The following is a 21,067-nucleotide window of genomic DNA, read 5'->3' on the forward strand; positions in this document are numbered from 1 at the left end:
AGGCAAAAACTGTAAATCAGTGATTTTTAATATTTTCAAAGAACTAAAGGAAACTATGTTTAAAGAACTTAAAGGAAAGGATAAAATGATATCCTAATAAGTAGAGAGTATCAATAAAGAGAAATTACATGAAAAAGAAATTCTGGGCCGGGCATGGTGGCTCATGCCTGTAATCCCAGCACTTTGGGAGACTGAGGCGGGTGGATCACCTGAGGTCAGGAGTTTGAGACCAGCCTGGCCAATACGGTGAAACCCCCCTCTCAACTAAAAATACAAAAATTATCCAGGCATGGTGGCGTGTGCCTGTAATCCCAGCTACTCGGGAGGCTGAGGCACGAGAATTGCTTGAACCTGGGAGGTGGAGGTTGCAGTGAGCCGAGATTGTGCCATTGCACTCTAGCCTGGGTGACAGGAGTGAAACTCCATCTCAAAAAAAAAAAAAAAAAGAAATTCTGGAGATAAAAAGCATAATAACTGAAATGAAAAATTCACTAGAGGGGATCAACAGTAGCTTTGAGCTGGCAGGGTAAAGAATCAGTGAATTTGAAGACAGGTCAGGTGAGATGATCCAATCTGAGGAACAGGAAGAAGAAAAGTAAACAAAATGAACACAGTCCTAGAGGTCTGTGGAACACCATGAAGCATATGAACACCCACATAATGGAAGTCCCAAAAGGAGAGAGAAAAGAGAGAAAAAAAGGTGCAAGAAAGACTATTTGAAGGAATAATGGCTAAAAATCCCCCCAATTTGATTTAAAGCATTAATCTATGCATTCAAGAAGTGCACTGAACTCCAACTAAGATAAATTCAAAGAGATAGGCACCCAGACACATCATAAACTTATAAAAGCTAAAGACAGAGAGAATCTTGAAAGTAAGAGAGAAGTAACTCATCATATACAAGGAATCCTCAATAGGATTAGCAGCTAATTTCTCATTAGAAATCTTGAAGTCAGAGGGCAGTAGGACAACATATTCAAAGTACTGAAAGAAAAAGACTGCCAAACAAGAATTCTACATCCAGCAAAATTATCTTTCAAAAATGAAGGAGAAATTAAGACATTCACAGATAAACAAAAACTGAGATAGTTCATCACTAACAAACTTCTACAAAAAATGCTAAACGGAGTCCTTCAGGGTGAAATAAAATGATACTAGCTAGTAATGTAAATCTACATAAAGAAATAAATAGCACCTGTAAAGTTAACTACATAGGTAAATATAAAAGACAGTATAAATGCATTTTTTTGCGTGTAACACTTTTTTACTCCTGATTTAAAAGACAACTGCATAAAGCAATAACTATAACTATGTTCATGGGCACACAATGTGTAAAGATGTAATTTGTTTGACAATAATAGCACAAAGGAGGGATGAAGGAATAAAGTTATATAGAGGCAATTTCTTTGTATTACTGAGCTTAATTTGGTATTAATTCTAATTGGAGTAATATAAATAATGATGTTAATTGTAATACCCAAGGAAACAACTAAGAAAAAAAAAAAACAGGCTAAGTGCAGTGGCTCATGCCTGTAATCACAACACTTTGGGAGGCCAAGGTGGGTAACTTGAGCTCAGGAGTTTGAGACCAGCATGGGCAACATGGCAAGGTCCTGTCTCTACAAAAAAATTAAAAATTGGCCAGGTGCGGTGGCACACGCCTGTAATCCCAGTACTTTGGGAAGCCAAGGTGGGCAGATCACAAGGTCAGGAGTTCGAGACCAGCCTGGCCAACATGGTGAAACCCCGCCTCAATTAAAATACAAAAAAATTAGCTGGGTGTGGTGGCAGGCACCTGTAGTCCCAGCTACTAAGAAGGCTGAGGCAGGAGAATTGCTTGAACCCAGGAGGTGGAGGTTGCAGTGAGCCGAGATCGTGCCACTGCACTCCAGCCTGGGTGACAGAGTGAGACTTTGTCTCAAAATAAATAAATAAATAAATAAATAAAAAATAAAAAACTAAAAATTAGCTGAGCATGATAGCACATGCCTGTGGTCCCAGCTATTCAGGAGGCTGAGGCAGGAGGGTAGCTTGAGCCCAGGAGGTTGAGGCTGCAATGAGCCATGTTCCTACCATGGCACTCTGGCCTGGGTGACAGAGCAAGACCCTGTATCAAAAAAAAATAAAAATTTTTTAAATTAAAAAAATGAATAAAAGACATAGGGAAGAAATAACAGAAAAATTAAAAATGGTACACTAGAAAATATCTGTTTAACTTAAAAGAAGGCATTACTAGAGGAATACAGGAACAAAAAATAAGATATAGAAAACAAATAGCAAAATTGCAAACATAAACCCTACCTTATCAGGAATTACAATAACATAAGTTAATTAAACACTGCGATTAACCCTTTTCCTGTTTAGGAAAAAAAAACGTGCAGCTTGCTGCCTGTGCTCACTAGATTTTATATAAACATGCTCTTTGAGGCTGAAGCAAAGCTAACTGATTTTCAATGTCAAAACAAAATATAAAAACTATTCTTGGAGTTATTTCTAAGCTGAACTAACATCAGAATCATCTGAATCATCAGAATCATCTGAATCATCAGAACCATCTATTTTGGAAAAATCAGATTCATCAAATGATTCTTCATCCAACGACTGTTCAAGAACGATGTTAACATCATTTGTAGGGATGTTACATTTTCTAGGATTTGACATTTTCAATGATTGAGAATTACTATATTTTGTAAGTGGAAATACCACTCCTAAAAACAGAATGCTATAAATAGAATGATGTCTTTTGTTTCCAAAGTCGATATACTAGAGTGATGTGAAAATAATAATAAAAATGAGACAGTTTGTGGCAAAGTTATCTCAGGGTAAACACTGCAGCCGCAAGTGCCATCAGAGAGTGTTCTCAGCACAAACGGTAAAGGGTTAATAGGCACAGTGGATGAAAAACGTGACTTAATTATATGCTATCTGTAAGAGGCACATTTTAGATTCAAAGACCCAAATAAGTTGAAAGTAAATGGATGGAAAAAGATTTACCATGCAAACAATAGCCAAAAGAGAGCTGGAATAGCTATACTAATATGAGGTAAAATAGAATTTAAAACAGCAATTGTTACTTGAGATAAAGAAAAATATTTTATAAGCATAAATGGTCAATCCATCAAGAAGATTTAACAATAATAAGTATATGTGCACCTAACAACACAGCACAAAATATATGAAATAAAAACAGGCAGAATTGGAGACAGAAATAGACAATTCAACAATTATAGCTGAAGACTTCAATATCTCATTTAAAGAAATGGGTAAAACAACTAGACAGGGAACCAAAAAGGAAGTTTTTTTTTTTTTTGGAGACGTGGTCTCACTCAGACTGGAGTGCAGTGGTGCAATCTCAGCTCACTGCAACCTCCACTTTCTGGGCTCAAGTGATCCTCCCACTTCAGCCTCCTGAGTAGCTGGGACTATAGGCGTGTGCCACCATGTGGCTTTTTGTGTGTGCATGTGTATTTTTTGCAGAGTTGGGGTTTTGCCATGTAGCCCAGGATGGTCTTGAACTCCTGCACTCAAGCAATCCACCCGCCTCAGACTCCCAAGGTGCTGGAATTAGAGGTGTGAGCTACTGTGCATGGCCAATAAGGAAGATTTGAAAAATGCTATAAACCAATTAGACCTCATAAACATCTATAGAACACTTCACCCTACAATGGCAGAATACACATTCTTCTTCAGTGCACATGGAACATTCTTCAGGACAGACTATATGTTAAGCCAGAAAACAAATCTCAGTAAATTGAAAAGGACTGAAATTATACAAAATATGTTCTCTGACCACAATGGAATGAAATTAGACATCAAAAACAGAAGAAAATTTGAAAAATTTACAAATATGTGGAAAGTAACACACTCCTAAATAACCAATAGGTCAAAGAAGAAATCACAAGTGAAATTAGAAGATACTTTGAGATGAATGAAAATGAACACACAACATATCAAAATGTAAGGGATGCAGTTAAAGTGGTGCTTAAAGGAGAATTCATAGTTGTAACTGCCTATATCTAAAAAGAAGAAAGATATCAAAATCAGTAACCTAATCTTCCATTTTTTTCTAGGAAATTAGAAAGAAAAGAGCAAACTAAGTCCAAAGCAAGCACAAGGAAAAACATAATAAGAGTAGAAATAAATGACATAAAGAATTTTAAAAATAGAGAACTAATAAAACAAAAATTTGGTTCTTTGAAAAGATCAATAAAATTGATAAACCTTTAGACTAAGAATAAAAAAGGGCAGAAAATTCTAATTACTAAAATCAGGAATGAAAGAGTGGACATACTACTGACCTTACAGAAATAAAAAGTATTATAAGAGAGTATAAGAGAGTACTGTGAACAATTATGTGCCAGTAAGTTAGAAAACCTAGATGAAATGGACAAATTCCTAGAAAGACACAAACTACAAAAACTGACTCAGTAAGAAATGGAAAATCTCAATAGACCTATAACAAGTGAAGAGATTGATTTAGGAATAAGTAAAACTTCCTACAAAGACATACCCAGGACCAGATGTCTTCACTGGTGAATTCTACTAAACATTTAAAAAGAATTAATACCGACCAGGCATGGTGGCTCACACCTGTAATCCTAGCATTTTGGTAGGCCAAAGCAGGAGGATCGCTTGAGCCCAGGGGTTCAAGACCAGCCTGAGCAACACAGCAAGACCCTGTCTCAAAAAAAGAAAAAAAATTAATGCCAATCTTCACAAAATCTTCCCAAAAATAGAAGAAGGAACACTGTCCAACTTATTCTATGAGGCCAGTATTATCCTGATACCAAAACCAGAAAAAGACATCATAAGAAAACTACAGAGCAATGTCTCTTACGAATATAGATACAATAATCCTTAACAAAATAATCACAAACTAAATCCTACAACATACAAAAAGGATTTATACCAAGGCCAAGTGAGATTTAGCCTAGGAATGCAAATGTCTACACCTAGACACATCATAAACAAACTTATGAACGTATCAACTTGCATGAAAATCAATTAATGTACTACATACCATATTCATAGAATAAAGGACAAAATTCACACAATCATGTCAATAAACACAGAAGAAGCATTTGACAATGTCCAACATCCTTTCACGACAAAAATACTCAACCAACTAAGAATAGAAGGAGAAATTTGTCAACACTGAGGTAGCAGTTAATATATGCCAGATGCATTGTTCTAGACACCTTACATTTACTAAGTAATTTCATTCTCACACCAACTATATGAGGCGGGAACTATTATTACCTACATTTTGCAGATGAATAAACTGAGGTACAGGGCGTTTAAGTAACTTTTCCTGTGTTAAGCAACTAATAAGTTGTGGAGGTAAGATTCTTATACAGAAATTCTGGCTACAGAGTCCATGCTCTTAATCACATTCTGCTCTACTGTCTCTCAAAGAATGTAGACTAATAATAATGATAAACAAATTGGGTTTCCTTAAAACTAATGATTCAAGCCGGGCATGGTGGTTCATGCCTGTAATCCCAGCACTTTGGGAGGCCGAGGCGGGCAGATTGAGACCATGCTGGCCAACATGGTGAAACCCCTTTTCTACTAAAAATACAAAAAGTAGCTGGGCGTGGTGGCACGCACCTGTAGTCCCAGCTACTCGGGAGGCTGAGTCAGGAGATTCGCTTGAACCCAGGAGGCGGAGGCTGCAGTGAGCTGAGATTGTGCCACTGCACTCCAGCCTGGCGACAGAGCGAGACTCCTCCTCAAAAAAAAAAAAGAAAAACTAATGATTCAATCTTTATCTGTAAGTAAACTTAACTTACAACACTGTTGACGTATATCAGTGATCATAATTTGTAGTACTGGTAAGAATTGCTAATATTAGTAGCAATGTTTATTTAATCAAGTTGATAGTGTTGGGTCAATATTTATATTTAATTGTAATTTTAGTCATAAAATTGGTGATGATCATTTATATGAGTAAACATAATTTGTAATATTGGTAAAAATTGACAAAATTACTTATACAATTTGATTGCATTAGTAACAATTATTTAATTTCTATTTGTAACTAAAATTTGATTCATAACTGTGGTACTCATAATTTATATTAGTAATCAAAATTTTAATATTAGTGATTTTTTTTATAATAGCAGTTAGAATGTTAACCATATTAGTAATTATTTCTATTAGGAACTACAAGATAATTCAAAACACAGGTACTCATGGGTTATATTAGTAATCTTAATTTGTAACACTGGTAATAGTTATATCTGTAAAAATTTTTACACTGTTTGTACTAATGGTTTAATTTTATTTACTTATTTATTTAATGTTTTGAGACAGGGTCTCACTCTGTTGCCCAGGTTGGGATGCGGTGGTGCTATCATGGCTCACTGCAGCCTCAACCTCCAGGGCTCAAGCAATCTTCCCACCTCAGCTTCCCAAGTAGCTGGGACTACAGGTGTATGCCACCATGCCGGGCTGATTTTTAAATTTTTTGTAGAAATGGGGTCTCGCTATGTTGCCCAGGCTGGTCTCAAACTCCTGGGCTCACGAGATCCTCCCACTTTGGGTTTAAATTTTTAAAAAATAATTATAACAATTTACAACATAAGTACTAATCATTTATAGTAATAAACTTAATTTGTAACACTGTAATGCATTGTAATATTAGTTGTTATATTTGATGATATTAGCAATGATAATTCAATTTCTATTATTTAAACGTTCAGCATATTTTATTCTGGCACATTGTAGCCCAATGACCCAACTGTGGTAGTCTCCACTGCATGCCATGTTTATGTAAGTCAAAACAGGTACTTATAATTTATATTAGAGCATAATTTGTAATAGCAATAATCATTTGTAATAACAGCAATAATCTTTGATGCTATTAGTAATGATTATTCAATTTCTACTAGAAACTATAATTTAATTCATGACATAGGTACTCATAATTTACAACAGTAAAAATAATTTATAATATTAGTGATAATTTGTAATATTAGTGATTATATATATATATATATTTTTTTTTTTTTTTTTTGAGATGGAGTTTCGCTCTTGTTGCCCAAGCTGGAGTGTAATAGCGTGATCTTGGCTCACCACAACCTCCGCCTCCCGGGTTCCAGCGATTCCCCTGCCTCAACTTCCCAGGTAGCTGGGATTACAGGCATGCACCACCACGCCGGGCTAATTTTGTATTTTTTTAGTAGAGACAGGGTTTCTCCATGTTGGTCAGGCTGGTCTCAAACTCCCGACCTCAGGTGATCCGCCCACTTCGGCCTCCCGAAGTGTTGGGATTACAGGCATGAGCCACCGCGCCCGGCCAGTGATTATATTTCATAATAGTAACCAAAAGTTCAATTTCTATTAATTAATTAATAGGAGGGAGGCTGAGGTGGGACTCTGTTGCCCAAGCTGGAGTGCAGTGGCGTGATCTCTGGTCACTGCAACCTCCAACTCCCGGGTTCAAGTGATTCTCCTGCCTCAGCCTCCCAAGTAGCTGGGACTACAGGCACGCACCACCATGCCCAGCTAATTTTTGTATTTTTAGTAGAGACGGGGTCTCATTATGTTGACCAGGCTGGTCTTGATCTCCTGACCTCATGATCTGCTCACCTCAGCCTCTCAAAGTGCTGGGATTACAGGCATGAGCCACCGTGCCTTGCCAACAATTTAATTTATAACATTATTATTGATAAATGTTATTGGCAATCCTAATTTGAATATAGGTAAAATTTCTATCAGAAGGAATATTTGATAATGTTAGTAATAATGACTTAATTTCTATATGTAATATATTCTGATTCATTACATTAATTCTGTCAATTCACATTAGAAATAGGTTTTTAATACTGGCAAAAATAGACAACATGAGTAACAGGATCTGATACATATTAGAATGGATCATGATTTAGTTTTCCTTGTAAGCATAAGGAAATTCACGGTAGACCCTATCACAAAGCAACTTCATGACTCCACGTGCACACAGCAGCCACACTCTTGATATCGCACTGCTGATAATATACCAATATTTAATATTATTGCAGTAGTTATGACTCTTCCCTCCTGCCCACTCTATTTTCCCCAAACTCACCATTTCTTTGTGATTGGGGTAGAAGGTCTGATCAATTAGAGGGAATTCTTCTGTCCCCAGTTTCTTATGCAGTCGAACCATCTGGGCAAACTATGAGAACCAGGAGAGCTGGGTCAGTGAGTCCTTCACCACGAATCTGTAAGTTTCTGAACACCCTCACTTCCCCAAATCGCAGACTGGTTTCAAGCTCCCACATACATGCATGAGCTGTTCCCTCTGCCAGTGGCACCCTTCCTGTTACTTACCACCCAGGGCTTGTCACAGAAGTTGTAGACAGAATGCAAGGAGTTAACACTGGGGATTCCAGCATACTGCAGCCCAATGACCAAACTGCGGTAGTCTCCGTTGCGTGCCATGCTGAAGGCGTGCTGGCGGATCAGCACAAAATCCGGCTTCAGAGACCTAGTGTGGCAGGGGTAGGAGTGTTGAGAGTTCCCCCAGAAGCTCCCAATCACTCTCGAAACAAAGACCAAGTTTTTAAATCTCCATAGCTCCCAGAAATTGCAAAGTGGTTTCTCACCTCTGCACACATGTGTGAGCTGTTCCCTCTGCCTAGTGCACCCTTTCTACCCTCTGCCCACCTGGTGATCCCCTTTAAGCCTCTCCTACCTGTTCCCTTCTCAGCAAGGTCAGCTTGCAGCTTACCGACACAGCTCTGACAACTCCCTGGTCACCATCTCTCAGACTGCAAGCTGTCTTCAGTGTTCTGCCCAGAATAAATTCTAACCTTGGGACCTTTACCAAGGCTGTTCCATCTGCCTAAAGCACTTCCCCCCTAGATATCTGCATGGATCACTCCTTCACCTCCATCAGGTCTTTCCTCAAATGTCTCTCCTGCAACCAGGCCACCCTATCCCAACTGCAGACCCCACCATCATCCAACAATTGCTACATCTGCTTTAGTGCTATATATATATTTTTTTCTTTTTTTTTTTTCTGTTGAGACGGACTGTTGCTCTGTTGTCCAGGCGCTGGAGCAATCATGGCTCACTGTAATCTCCGCCTCTCGGGTTCAAGCGATTTCCCTGCCTCAGCCTCCCGAGTAGCTGGGATTACAGGCACCTGCCACCACGCCTGGCTAATTTTTTTATTTTTAGTAGAGACGGGGTTTCACCATGTTGGCCAGGCTGATTTTGAACTCCTGGGCTCAAGCAATCCACCCACCTTGGCCTCCCAAAGTGCTGGGATTATAGGCATGAGCCACCACATCCGGCCACTGTTATGTTTTTTCTTAGCACTTTTACATTTTCTTATTTATTTGTGTATTGTGTGTATCTCACAGTAGAATGTAAGTTTCATAAGGCCCAGGTTCTTTTTCTTTTTTTTTTTTTGGCCTTTCAGCATGTAGAATATCTCCTGGCACACAGTAGGTGTACAATAAATATTTATTGAATATGAAGTCCTGAGAGCAGCATCTGGCATGCAGCAGATGTCTAGCAAATGTTTATTTAATTAATAATTGAAGGCTGGGTGTGGCGGCTCATGCCTGTAATCCCAGCACTTTGAGAGGACAAGGCAGGTAGATTGTTTGAGCCCAGAAGTTTGAGACAAACCTGGGCAACATAGTGAGGACCCCCCCCATCTCTACAAAAAACATAAAAATTAGCTAGGCATGGTGGTGCGCACCTGTAGTCTCAGCTACTTGGGAGGCTGAGGTGGGAGGATCACTTGAGCCTGAGAGGTTGCAGCTGCAGAGAGCCATGATTGTGCCAGTGCACTCCAGCCTGGGAGACAGAGCAAGACCCTGTCTGAAATATATATATATATATATATATTTTTTTTTAAAGTCTGACTTGTGGCATCCTGGGGTCCCTGGCTCTTTTTCTGAAGAAAAGTTGTCTCCCCACATTCCATGCCTAAGTTCTTGCCCACAGAAGGATGGGTGGGGAGGTAGGAACTTTCCCCCAGCTCTAAGGGAGAGTTCTTATGCCTTGCTCATAACACCAAGGTACCCTTCTTATACTCACCGCACGACCTTCACCCCATTCCGAAGAACTTCCATATCCACAGAGAATCCACCATTGGCATGGGCCACAAGGTTGAGATCAGAGAATTCGGCCTGGGAAGGAGAAAAAAACTGGTGATTCACCTACATCACACAAAAATGGCCACTCAGTTTGCAGTATGGACAACTGACCCCCAGGTCCAAATGTCCCAACTTACCTGTTCTACTTTAATGTCAATTTCTCCATGGATCTTTTTCCCTTTGAAGTATTTTGCCCTGGAGAGGAAAAACAACACATCTGTCAATGATGAAATCTCAGAAGGGAAGACAAAACACAGGCCCTTGACCCTTTTGCCCCTTCAATGCTACTAAAGAAACCACAAAGTGCCTTATAATTATTGAAATATTTTGAAAAAATCAAGAGTGCTTTGTGAATAATGTCTGTTGTAATCCTCATGGAGTTGCAAAAATATTAAAGGACATTGCAAACTGTAAAATGTGGCCTTACACTGCAGAGAGCAGGTATTTCCCAAAATTTAGTCTGCTCATCACATTGTCATTGTAAATTTTTTAAAAAAACTTCACAAAATTAGCAGCACTATGTAAATTAGAACATACTTTGAAATTGCATGGAGACCGGTAAACAGCAAAGAACCTTAGAAAACACCTATCTGGCCAGGTACGGTGGCTTACGCCTGTAATCTCAGCACTTTGGGAGGCTGGAGGTAGGAGGATTGCTTCAGGCCAAGGGTTGGAGACCACCCTGGACAATATAGAGAGACCCCCATCTCTACAAAAAAAATTGAAAAAAAAAAAAAAAAAACAAAAGCCGAGGGCTGTGGCTCACGTCTATAATCCCACAACTTTGAGAGGCCAAGGCGGGTGGATCACCTGAGGTCAAGAGTTCGAGACCAGCCTGACCAACATGGTGAAACCCCTTCTCTACTAAAATACAAAATTAGCCAGGTGTAGTGGTGCATGCCTGTATTCCCAGCTACTTGGGAGGCTGAGGCAGGAGAATCACTTGGACCCAGGAGGCGGAAGTTGCAGTGAGCCAAAATGGTGCTATTACACTCCAGCCTGGGCAACAAGAGCGAGACTCCATCTCCAAAAAACCCAAAAAACAAAAACTAGCCAGGCATAGTGGTGCATGCCTGTAGTCCCAGCTACTGGGGAGGCTGAGGCAGGAGAATGGCTTGAGCCCAGGAGGTCGAGGCTGTAGTGAGCCGTGATTGCACCACTGCACTCCAGCTTGGGGAACAGAGCAAGACCTAGGCAAAAAAGAGAAAGAAATAAAGAGAAAGGAAGGAAGGAAGGAAGGAAGGAAGGAAGGAAGGAAGGAAGGAAGGAAGGAAGGAAGGAAGGAAGGGGAAGGAAGGAAGGGGAAGGAAGGAAGGAAGGAGAGAAAGAAACTACATTTCTCTGAAGCGTGCCTGTTTTTGTGTATTTTTTAGTGCCTGTGTATATGTCAGTGCCTGTGTCTGGCTGTGTGGCCTGAAGCATCTCTCTGCTCTCTGGCCCTTTCGCAAGGAGGAGCACATTCACCATGTGTGGTTGTGTGCTGTGAGAAACACAATGGCCATAGGTGGGCAGCTGCATCCGATAAGGAGGAGTGGATTGAGTGGTGCAGGCTGGGTGGCTCTAGAGAAGCCAGTGTAGCTGGCAATGATGGGGGGCAGGGAGGAATGCAGCTGAGGAGGAGAGGGAGCAACAGGAGGGAGGGGGAGTGGGAGCAGCAGTAGGAACATCACGAACTGCTATGTCATTGTCCCCGGGCCCGTCCCCAGCTGGGCTTGGTTTCCGGTGGCCTCCTCCCCCAGGCTCAAGATTTCTAGCCAACAGGCTGCTTGCTCCAGGGATGGAAGCTCATCCTCAATCAGGTTTATCATGGAAGGGGGATGAGGGGGAGAGACACTTTCAGGGCTACTGGTCACTGACACACATACAATCAGGGTCTTGGACAGACACACACACACACACACACACACACACACACACACGGCACAAATGGACCCTGGTGACTTGACTGACATATGCAAGAGACCCCAAGTACAGCTACTTCTTTTTCCTTGCTCTCTCTCTGACACACACACACACACACACACACACACACACACCATCGCTGACACTATCCCCTCAGAAGTGTTGAGAGAGAATCTCTCTCAGCCCTGCACATTTTTCATCTATAAACTGATGAGTGGGGATGATGAGGGTGTATCACTGTTTCTAAAACTTTTCTGACCATAAGTGTAGTTGGATACTGTGGTGGTCTGCTCAGGCCTCCTCTTCAGGGACAATGTACCTTGAATGGCAGCTACTGACAGCTCATGGCTGTGTCCCCACTGGGAATTGTCTTGTCACAGGGAACTGCCTTGTCCAAGGTTACACCTACTTCATGAGGGCATCCCCATGGTCTGGTCTATGAAGGGAAAGAAAGGCCAGCCTCCTTGCCTCAATCTGGGCTGACTCTGAAGGACCCTCCCAGCCCCAGGGCTCCCCCTAAGAGCAGCGGAGGCCCCTAAGGCAACTACATCTTGAGCCAGCCTCTTCCTCTGCTCAACCCAACCCTCCTCACAAGTGTTGATCCCAATGGCACACTCCAGTAAGCCTCCTGCATGCAAATCTCCACCTCAAAGTCTTTTTCCAGGGAACCCAACCTAAAACAGTGGGCCATGGAAGTCAAACTACAAGGGTGGTCTAATGCAATTCTGGAGCTGGGTTACCCAGCAGCCAGATGGCAGTGAGGACCCATCAGTAGTGGGAGGTGGGGCATAGATAGCCTCCGATATGCTGTAGCAACGCAAAGTGCTCTGCAGCAGGTCCGGGCTGTGGTGCAAGCAGGATGTGACTTAGGCCATATGATCCAGCAGATCCTATGACACTGGAGGTGTCAGTAGTAGGAAAAGATGCTGTGTGGAATTTCTTCTCCCAGGTGGGAGAATACAGCGCAGGCCCCCAGGGTTTTGGAGTAGCGGTGACTTTTCCTGATGGTGGGCTGTAATGGGATTCTGGTGGAAGGGAATGTACTGGATGGTGAAATATCCCTGGAACTTGAGTGATGTCAGGGAAATGGTAACCAGACTTGGGTGACTATTCCCTAAACGCCATTGAGTAGCTGAAGAAAGACCTGACATGCTCAGGGTGAATTCAAGGCAAAATGTGAAAGCCAGAGGATCTCCCTGACTGCATTTAAGGAAACCCTCATCTCCTGCAGTCAGAGGGCAGACAGAAGGGAGGGCCAGGCTCAGAATTTAATTCTACGTGGTGGCGGAGCTTCGGAGAAAGTTGACTTCTCAGGCCCAGCACATCTCCTGGGCCATGCTCATGTCCCTAATAGGACAGGAGTAGGACTCTGAGATGGGGATATCTGGGCAGATGCAGTTAAACACCTTGAACTTACAGACTCACCTGCATCCACTGGGCCTGCTGAAGTAGACTACTCCCCTGAGTTAGAATATAGACCTTCTGCTTGAAGATAATGCAGAGGCCTCGGATGATGCAGGTGCTTTGTAAGACAATGCCTGCCCCCCTCAGAGTCTACCCCCCACCTACCCTCCTGGAAACCAGACCAAAAATTAGGGTGAAATCCTAGTGAAACCTGACTGGACAGGTTCTAGGCTTGCAAAGGGAGAGAAATGATCTGTAGAAGAACCTAAAGAATCTGGCTAGTACGTATTGGCAGGAGCTGGGAAGGTATGCATGAGACTGGATCCTGAGGACAATGGGCGAAGGAGGTAGAACAGGAAGTTGGTGTGCTCTCCCAGGATACGGAACTTAAAACCCTGGCGAGGACTCTAGGAAGTGTTACTAACACACTGGTATTTGGAAACCTGGAGTAAACAATGGCCCACACTAAGTGAAGCAGAACTTCCATGGCAGATTGCACAGGGAAGGATTAAAGGGCTCAAAGAAGCAGACATGTTGGAGTAGATATACTACTGAAGTCTGGAAAACCCACCAGCTGATTAAGGCCTGGAGGATACACTCAACTTATGAAATTAATAAGAAACATGCTGGTGAGGGTGGTACCAGTCACGCTGAGAAGCACAGTAGTGGTAAGGTGATAAATGAGTCCTGGCCCAGGTCCTGCTTACAGTGGGTCTGGTGGGTCTAGAGACCCACCCAGTGGTCACTTCCTCAGTTCACAAATGCGTAATTGCAATGGCATACTTTGTAGTTGTCAGAACCCCTACATGGGCTCCTCAGCCTGTGGGATAAGAGCTGTTTCAGTAGGGAAGTCCAAATAGAAGCTTCTAAAATGGCGCACACCCCCATGCCCTGAACAAAACAATAAACCACAAACAATATTGTGTGCATCCTATGGGTGATGATGGAAATCAATGCCACATTGAAAGATCTAAAGGATGCAGGGGTGTTGGTCTCATCTTATCTCCATCGAGTTGAGCAGTCTGGCCCCTGGAGAGGTCAGATGGGTCCTGGAGAATGCTTGCAGATTACTGCAAGCACAATCAAGTAGTACCCTTAGTTATACCTGCCATACTGGACACGCTGTCATTGCCAGAGCAGATTAATAAGACCTCAGGTACAGCAGGTGGCTGCTGACTTGGCAAATGCATTCTTTTTTATTCTGATTAGAAAAAAGGATCAGAAACAGTTTACACTCACATGAGACTGATGATAATATTCATAGATGGTCTTGCTGTAGGGCTATGCTATCTCTCTCACCTGGTGTCATAATATAGTCCAGAGAAACCTGGACTATCTGGACATCCCATGGAATAGCACACTGGACCACCACATGGATTACATCATACTGATTGTGCAAGATGAGCAAGAGAGGGTGAGCATATTGCCCTGGTAAGACACATCCACTACAGAGGGTGGAGGATAAACTCCACAAAGACTCAGGGGACCGATGCATTAGTAAAATTTTTAGGAATCCAGTGGTCCAGGGCAGTAAACCAGGACAGCCCCTCCAAAGAATAGAGCAAAGCATTGAATCACGCACCTTCCACCATGAAGAGGAAAGCACAATACCTAGGAGGCCTCTTCCCATTCTGGAGGCAGCATGTCCCCCACACACAAATAATGCTCTGACCCATATTCCAGGCGACATGTAAAGCTACCAGCTTTGTGTGAGGGCCAGAGCAGAAAAGGGCTCTGCAGCAGGTCCAGGCTGTGGTACAAGCAGTCCTGCCATTTAGGCCAGATGATCTGGCAGATCTTATGATACTGGAGGTGTCAGTAGTGGGGAAAGATGCAGTGAGGAGCTTATGGGAAGCCTGAGTGGGAGGCCCTTGGGGTTCTGGAGCAAAGCCATGCCATCTGCAGCAGAGAATTTTACGCCTTTTGAGAAAGACACCCCATTGAGGTGCTGGGCCCTGATAGAGACAGAATGCTTGACCAGGCACCAAATGATTGTGCATCCAGAAGTTCCCATTATAAGCTGGGTCCTGCTGGGCCCGCCAAATAATAAAGTCAGGTGGGCCCAGCAGTCAGGATTGAGCCCAAGCAGAACCAAGCAAGGTGCATGAGCAGGTAAGTAACCCTGATCCCCATGTCTTCCACACTGTTGTGCTAGTGCCTGTCTCACTAAGGGGACTCCTTAAAACTAGCTGATGAAAGAGGGAAAGGTCTAAGCTTGGTTCACAAATTGGTTGTCTTAGTATGTGGGTGGAAGCCAAAAATGGGCAGTGGTTGCACTATAACCCAACTGGAATGGCCTTGAAAGACAGTGGCAGAGCTCCCAGTGGGCAGAGCTTCAGGCTGTGCACCTGCTCATCTCCTTTGTGCAGAAAGAGAAGTGCCTCAAGATTAGAATACATATATCCACTTATGGGCAGTGGTAAATGGTTTGGCTGGTTGGTCAGGGGCCTGGAAATAAAAAGACTGGAAGATCCAGACAAAGAGGTCTGGGATACAGAAATGTGGGCAGACACCTAGGAGTGGGCAAGAAATGAGGAGTGAGACTGGGCGCGGTGGCTCACGCCTGTAATCCCAGCACTTTGGGAGGCCGAGGTGGGCGGATTACCTGAGGTCAGGAGTTCAAGACCAGCTTAGCCAATGTGGTGAAACCCCATCTCTACTAAAAATACAAAAATTAGCCGGGCGTGGTGGCGCACGCCTGTAATCCCAGCTACTCGGGAGGCTGAGGCAGGGGAATTGCTTCAACCTGGGAGGTGGAGGTTGCACTGAGCCAAGATCGTGCCACAGCACCAGCCTGGGCAATAGAGCGAGACTCCGTCTCCAAAAAAAAAAAAAAAAAAAAAAAAAGGGAGGAGCGAGGATCTTTGGATCGTGTGTTAACACCCACCAGACAGCATCTGCCATGGCGCCATGGAAGTGACACTAGGCAACCAGGTAGACAGCATGAGTCAGCCCGATGATGTCAGCCAGGCTCTAATCAGCCACCCCAGTGTTAGCAGATGGGCACATGAATAAGTGGCAATAGCAGCAGAGAGAGAAGCTATGTGTGGGGGCAGCAGTGTTACTGCTGAATGTCCAATCTGCCAGCAACAGAGACTAACATTGAATCCCTGACACGCCACCATCCCTCCAGAAGGCCAACCAACCACTTTGTGGCAAGCTGATTAGATTGGGCCCCTTCCATCCTGCAAAGAACAGTAATCGATTTTGACTGGAATATTCCATATTTGAGTTTGCCTTTTCTTACTGCAGGACCTCAGCCAGCTCACTGTCTAAGGGCTTACATAACGTTTGATCCACCAGCACGAGACCCTGCATAACACTGCGTCAAACCAAAGGACACACTTTATAGCAAAGTAAAGGAATGCAAAGCAAAGGAGGTGCAAAAGTGGGCCCATGACCATGGAATTAACTGATGGTATTACACACCACGCCACCCGGGAGCTGCTGGCCTGATGGAATGATGGAACAATTTGGTGCAGCCACAGCTAAGATCCCAGGTTGAAGGTGAGATCATGCAAGAATGGGCACCATCCTCCAAAACAGTGTCAACCCTAAATCAATGGCCATTGTAGGTGCTGTGTTCCTAACAGGTAGAATACACCGGTTTGGGGACACAGAGGTTAGGAAGGAGTGGCCCAGCTTACCAGCAATCCCAGTGATCCACTTTTGAAATTGTGCTTCCTGTTCCCTCAGGGCTCTGCAAGGTTAGAGGTCCTGGTTCTCCAAGGGGGAACACTGCTACCAGGGGACACAGCAAGAATCCCATTAAACTGTAAGCTATGATTGCCCTCAGGGCACTTCGTGTTTCTCATGCCAAGGGACATAAAAAGGAGCCATTGTCTTGGCAGGGGACGTGACCAACCTTGCTCCTCAGGAGGAGGTAGAGCTGCTGGTACACAGTGGAGGCAGGGAGGAGTATGTCTGGCACCCAGGGGATCCACTTGGGCATCTGTTGGTACTCCTTGCTCAACTTTGATAGTAAATGGGAAATGTGGTTGTTTGTACAGCAGCTACAGCCTGAGAAGGGCATGGGGACCAAAGGCTCAGGGATCTCTGCAGGATGGGAGCCACCCAGACCAAGAGTGGTGCTAGCTGAGGGTGGGGGGAATCTAGAATGGGTAACAAAAGAAGGAGAGGATGAATATCATTTATGACGTTGAAATCAACTGCAGCAGCAGAGACTATGGCTCATCTCACTACCGTGCTCTTTCAAGTGTCCCTGAGAAAACAAGACCGATTAGAATTCTGGAAATGCCGTTCCCCAATGGGGTGAACTTACTATAAGAAGGAAGTGGATCGGAGCAGTGCAAGGTGTGGACTATATGCTCCCCCCAGATCCTTACCTCCTTGTTCCAGACCTTTGCATCTATCCTCAGCTTCTGGAATTATCCGCTGCTGATGGCTCATAGGTGTCCCTCACTGGGCATTGGCCTCTGCAACAGGGATTTGCCTCACCCAAGATTACGCCTCCTCCCAGGGGGCAGCCTACAGCCAATGACTGACATAGGAATTCAAAGCCTGGCCACCCCGCTTCAACTGGGACAACTCTGAAGGGTCATTCCAGTGCCAGAGCTCCCCAGAGGATTGGCCGAGGCCTCTTTTGTGGTTGCATCACAGCTCAACTTTTCCCTCTGCACAATCCTGCTTCCCTCACAACCTCCCCCACAGGTGTTATTCCCAAGCGCTCTCCCCAGTAAATCTGCATGCAAATCTCAGAGTCTCGGGGTCTGCTTCCAGGGAAATATATCTGAGAAAAGAAGCCACAGTAAGAAATAAAGCTTATATAACCCACTATATATGTATTTGCATAATAACTCATCCTATATATGTATTATATAAGACACATATGTTGTACAGCAAATATGAGAATATAGAATGTCTTATATATTATGTAACATATAAAATGTTGTATATTACATATTATGTGTATATGTATTTAGAATGTATATAAATACATATGCATAACTGGAATTAAAGTTTCAATAGATAATTACCTTTACTATGTGTAATGCAGTCTGATTTTTCTATGCTATTTTATTTCATTTCATGAAGAAGAACATATACATATAGATGTATTATGTACTGTAAAGCCATTGTATAACACATGTATTACATACCGTATGTCATATATAATATACATTACAGATTGTATATCTTAATGGAATAACATTATATGTTTTGCTAAACAACAACTCCATTTACTATGTGCAATATGCTCTGTTATTCTCTATTTTTATTTATCCTACTTCAAGAAGAAAGTGAAATGCTGGTCATAAGCCAATAGGTGACCCATAGTTTGAGAAACACCAGAGAGCCGGGCACGGTGGCTCAAGCCTGTAATCCCAGCACTCTGGGAGGCCGAGGTGGGTGGATCACGAGGTCAGAAGTTTGAGACCAGCCTGACCAACATGGTGAAACCCCATCTCTACGAAAAATACAAAAATTAGCCAGGCATAGTGGCATGTGCCTGTAGTCCCAGCTACTCAGGAGGCTCGCTTGAACCCAGGAGACGGAGGTTGCAGTGAGCCGAGATCGTGCCATTGCACTCCAGCCTGGGCGACAGAGCAAGACTCCGTCTCAAAAAAAAAAAAAGAAAGAAAAACACAGGACAAAATTACCCACAAAATGGGGGAGATGAGTCTCAACTTAGAGTTTTCAACTTTAAACCACAGAGGAATTGAGACCCAGGAAGGAATGAGGGTGGTGAGGTTTGGTGGAAAAGGCGTCAGACTGTATTTCGGTGTACATTCCATCACAGAGTTTGCACAACTCCTGCTTTATTTGGGGCTGAAATCCCTGAAGCTAGTGTGGTTCTGAGTGTCTGCAAGTTGGTAAAACAGGTCTCTGTTCCCCACACTGAGCCTGGCGTACATACATAGGCTCTGTCCCTTTGTCCACCCCACCCCACATATAGTAGACACTAAATAAATATTTGCTAGATTGCCTGGAAGAAAAGACTGGAGGGGATGCTGGGATAAAGGGGGGCTTCTGAGATGCAGAAGGGGAAGGGATGGATCTTTCACTGAATTCAGCAGGTGCTCAATAAATGTTTTCTGGACAAAGAAAAAATGGAAAACATTGAATTTGTGATTATGGAAAGGGGAAGGGACTTGTCAGTATTCCATAGATAATAAATGCTTGATGGAAAGAAGGAAGCAGACGCAAAGGACCTGCATGGAGGGCTGGAGTGGAGACCGGAAGTCTAAAGGAGGGTGATTACCTATATCCAGCAGAGGCCTCATTGATGTTTGCTGACTTCAATGGAGCAAACTTAACCAGGAAGATAACACGTTGGTGAGTGGACGTTGGTGAAGGAATTACAGCACGTGCTCCATAAATGCTTTACAGATTGATAGAGAAAAAAGCGGAGAAGCCTGCTGCAGGGATGATAATGTGGCTGTTTGAAAATAATACAGTAAGAGATTAATAAGTGTTTTCTGGACTAATTCGGGGAGAAAAAGGCAGCTGGGGAGATGGCTACTAAGTGGAGGAAGAGGCCTAGCTAGAATAAATGGAAAACAGTGCACATTGTGAGCTTTCAGGATTGTGTTGTGTAAAAGGCAGGATGGAGATTGTTGAAGGGGGAATTGGGACTACAAAAAGGGGAGAAGAGGCATTTAACGCAGGGTTCTCAGTAGTATACGATAAATGCTCATTAAATGATTGTGGGGTTGCATGGAGGAAAAGGTATAGCAAGGCCAGCTGGCAGGTGAGGATTTCAAGCACACCTGCATTTAGAAAAAAAAGAAGGAAGGGGAGCTGAAGAAGGGTTATTCCTAGTATATAATGGTGCATAATAAATGCCTCCCACACTTTCATGGAAAGGATGCAATAAATATCTGCAGAATGAATAAATTGCTCTGAATGGAGAGAAAGGCTACTCGGTAAAGGCTCCTGGGGGAGAGGTAATCTAACCAGTAAACAGCTGGTACTCAATACATTTAGGCTGAAGTAGACCCCTAGAGAGAGAGCTCTTGAGGCAGGGTCAGGGATTTCCAGAGACTTGGAAAGAGGAAGTTGAAAGTGACTTATACAGTAAGTGCTCAATAAGTGTTTACTTAAATAGTAAAACTATTAAGTAAATAGTAAATTTAGTAAATTTACTAAATTTATTTAGTAAATTAAGTCAATAGTAAAACTATTAAGTAAAAGTGTTTACTTAAGTAAGTGTTACTTAAATAGACTAAAAGCCCTTTGGGGGTATGAATTAAAGTTGGTAGAGGGAATCCTAGGGGTACTGAAGGGAGTGGGAAAGGGGTGATCATTATAAACTCAGCTCTGGATTTATCACAGGAAAGGACCTTGGGAGAGGCCTTGTGATTGGAACAGGCTCTCCTAGGGGTAAGGAAGAAGAATGTACTCCCCAAAACAACAGGTCCTGCATATGTGCTCACTGGATCTACTGTTAAGAAAACAATTCTGGGGAGGAGGTGTGAATATACAGAACACACAGAAGACACTCCATAAATGCTCAGGGGAGCCATTGGAAGAAAAGGTCTTTGGGGGAGGATGATTAAAATGGAGCACATGACAGACAAGGAATAAATGCTCACTGGATCCATTAGAAGAAAAGGCCTTTGGGGAGTGGGGCTGGGGATGGACATATAGTCACCTGATCAAGGCTCACTGCATCCCTGAAGGAAAAGTCCTATGGGGAGGGG

General features: G+C 43.1%; 1 protein-coding gene across 2 annotated transcripts in view; it reads right to left on the reverse strand.

The window, feature by feature from the left end:
* The window catches only part of SYN1 (synapsin I), a 47,957-nt gene that overhangs the window by 25,006 nt on the left and 1,884 nt on the right, over positions 1–21,067 (reverse strand). For both annotated transcript variants that reach the window (NM_133499.2, NM_006950.3), the window contains exons 2-5: positions 10,235–10,292; positions 10,039–10,130; positions 8,317–8,473; positions 8,072–8,161 (exon numbers count right to left, since the gene is read on the reverse strand). In NM_133499.2, the coding sequence (NP_598006.1) occupies positions 8,072–8,161; positions 8,317–8,473; positions 10,039–10,130; positions 10,235–10,292 (397 nt within the window). The remainder of the gene's footprint in view (positions 1–8,071; positions 8,162–8,316; positions 8,474–10,038; positions 10,131–10,234; positions 10,293–21,067) is intronic.

Source organism: Homo sapiens, chromosome X, assembly GCF_000001405.40.
Source record: "Homo sapiens chromosome X, GRCh38.p14 Primary Assembly".
NCBI classification, from domain to species: domain Eukaryota; kingdom Metazoa; phylum Chordata; class Mammalia; order Primates; family Hominidae; genus Homo; species Homo sapiens.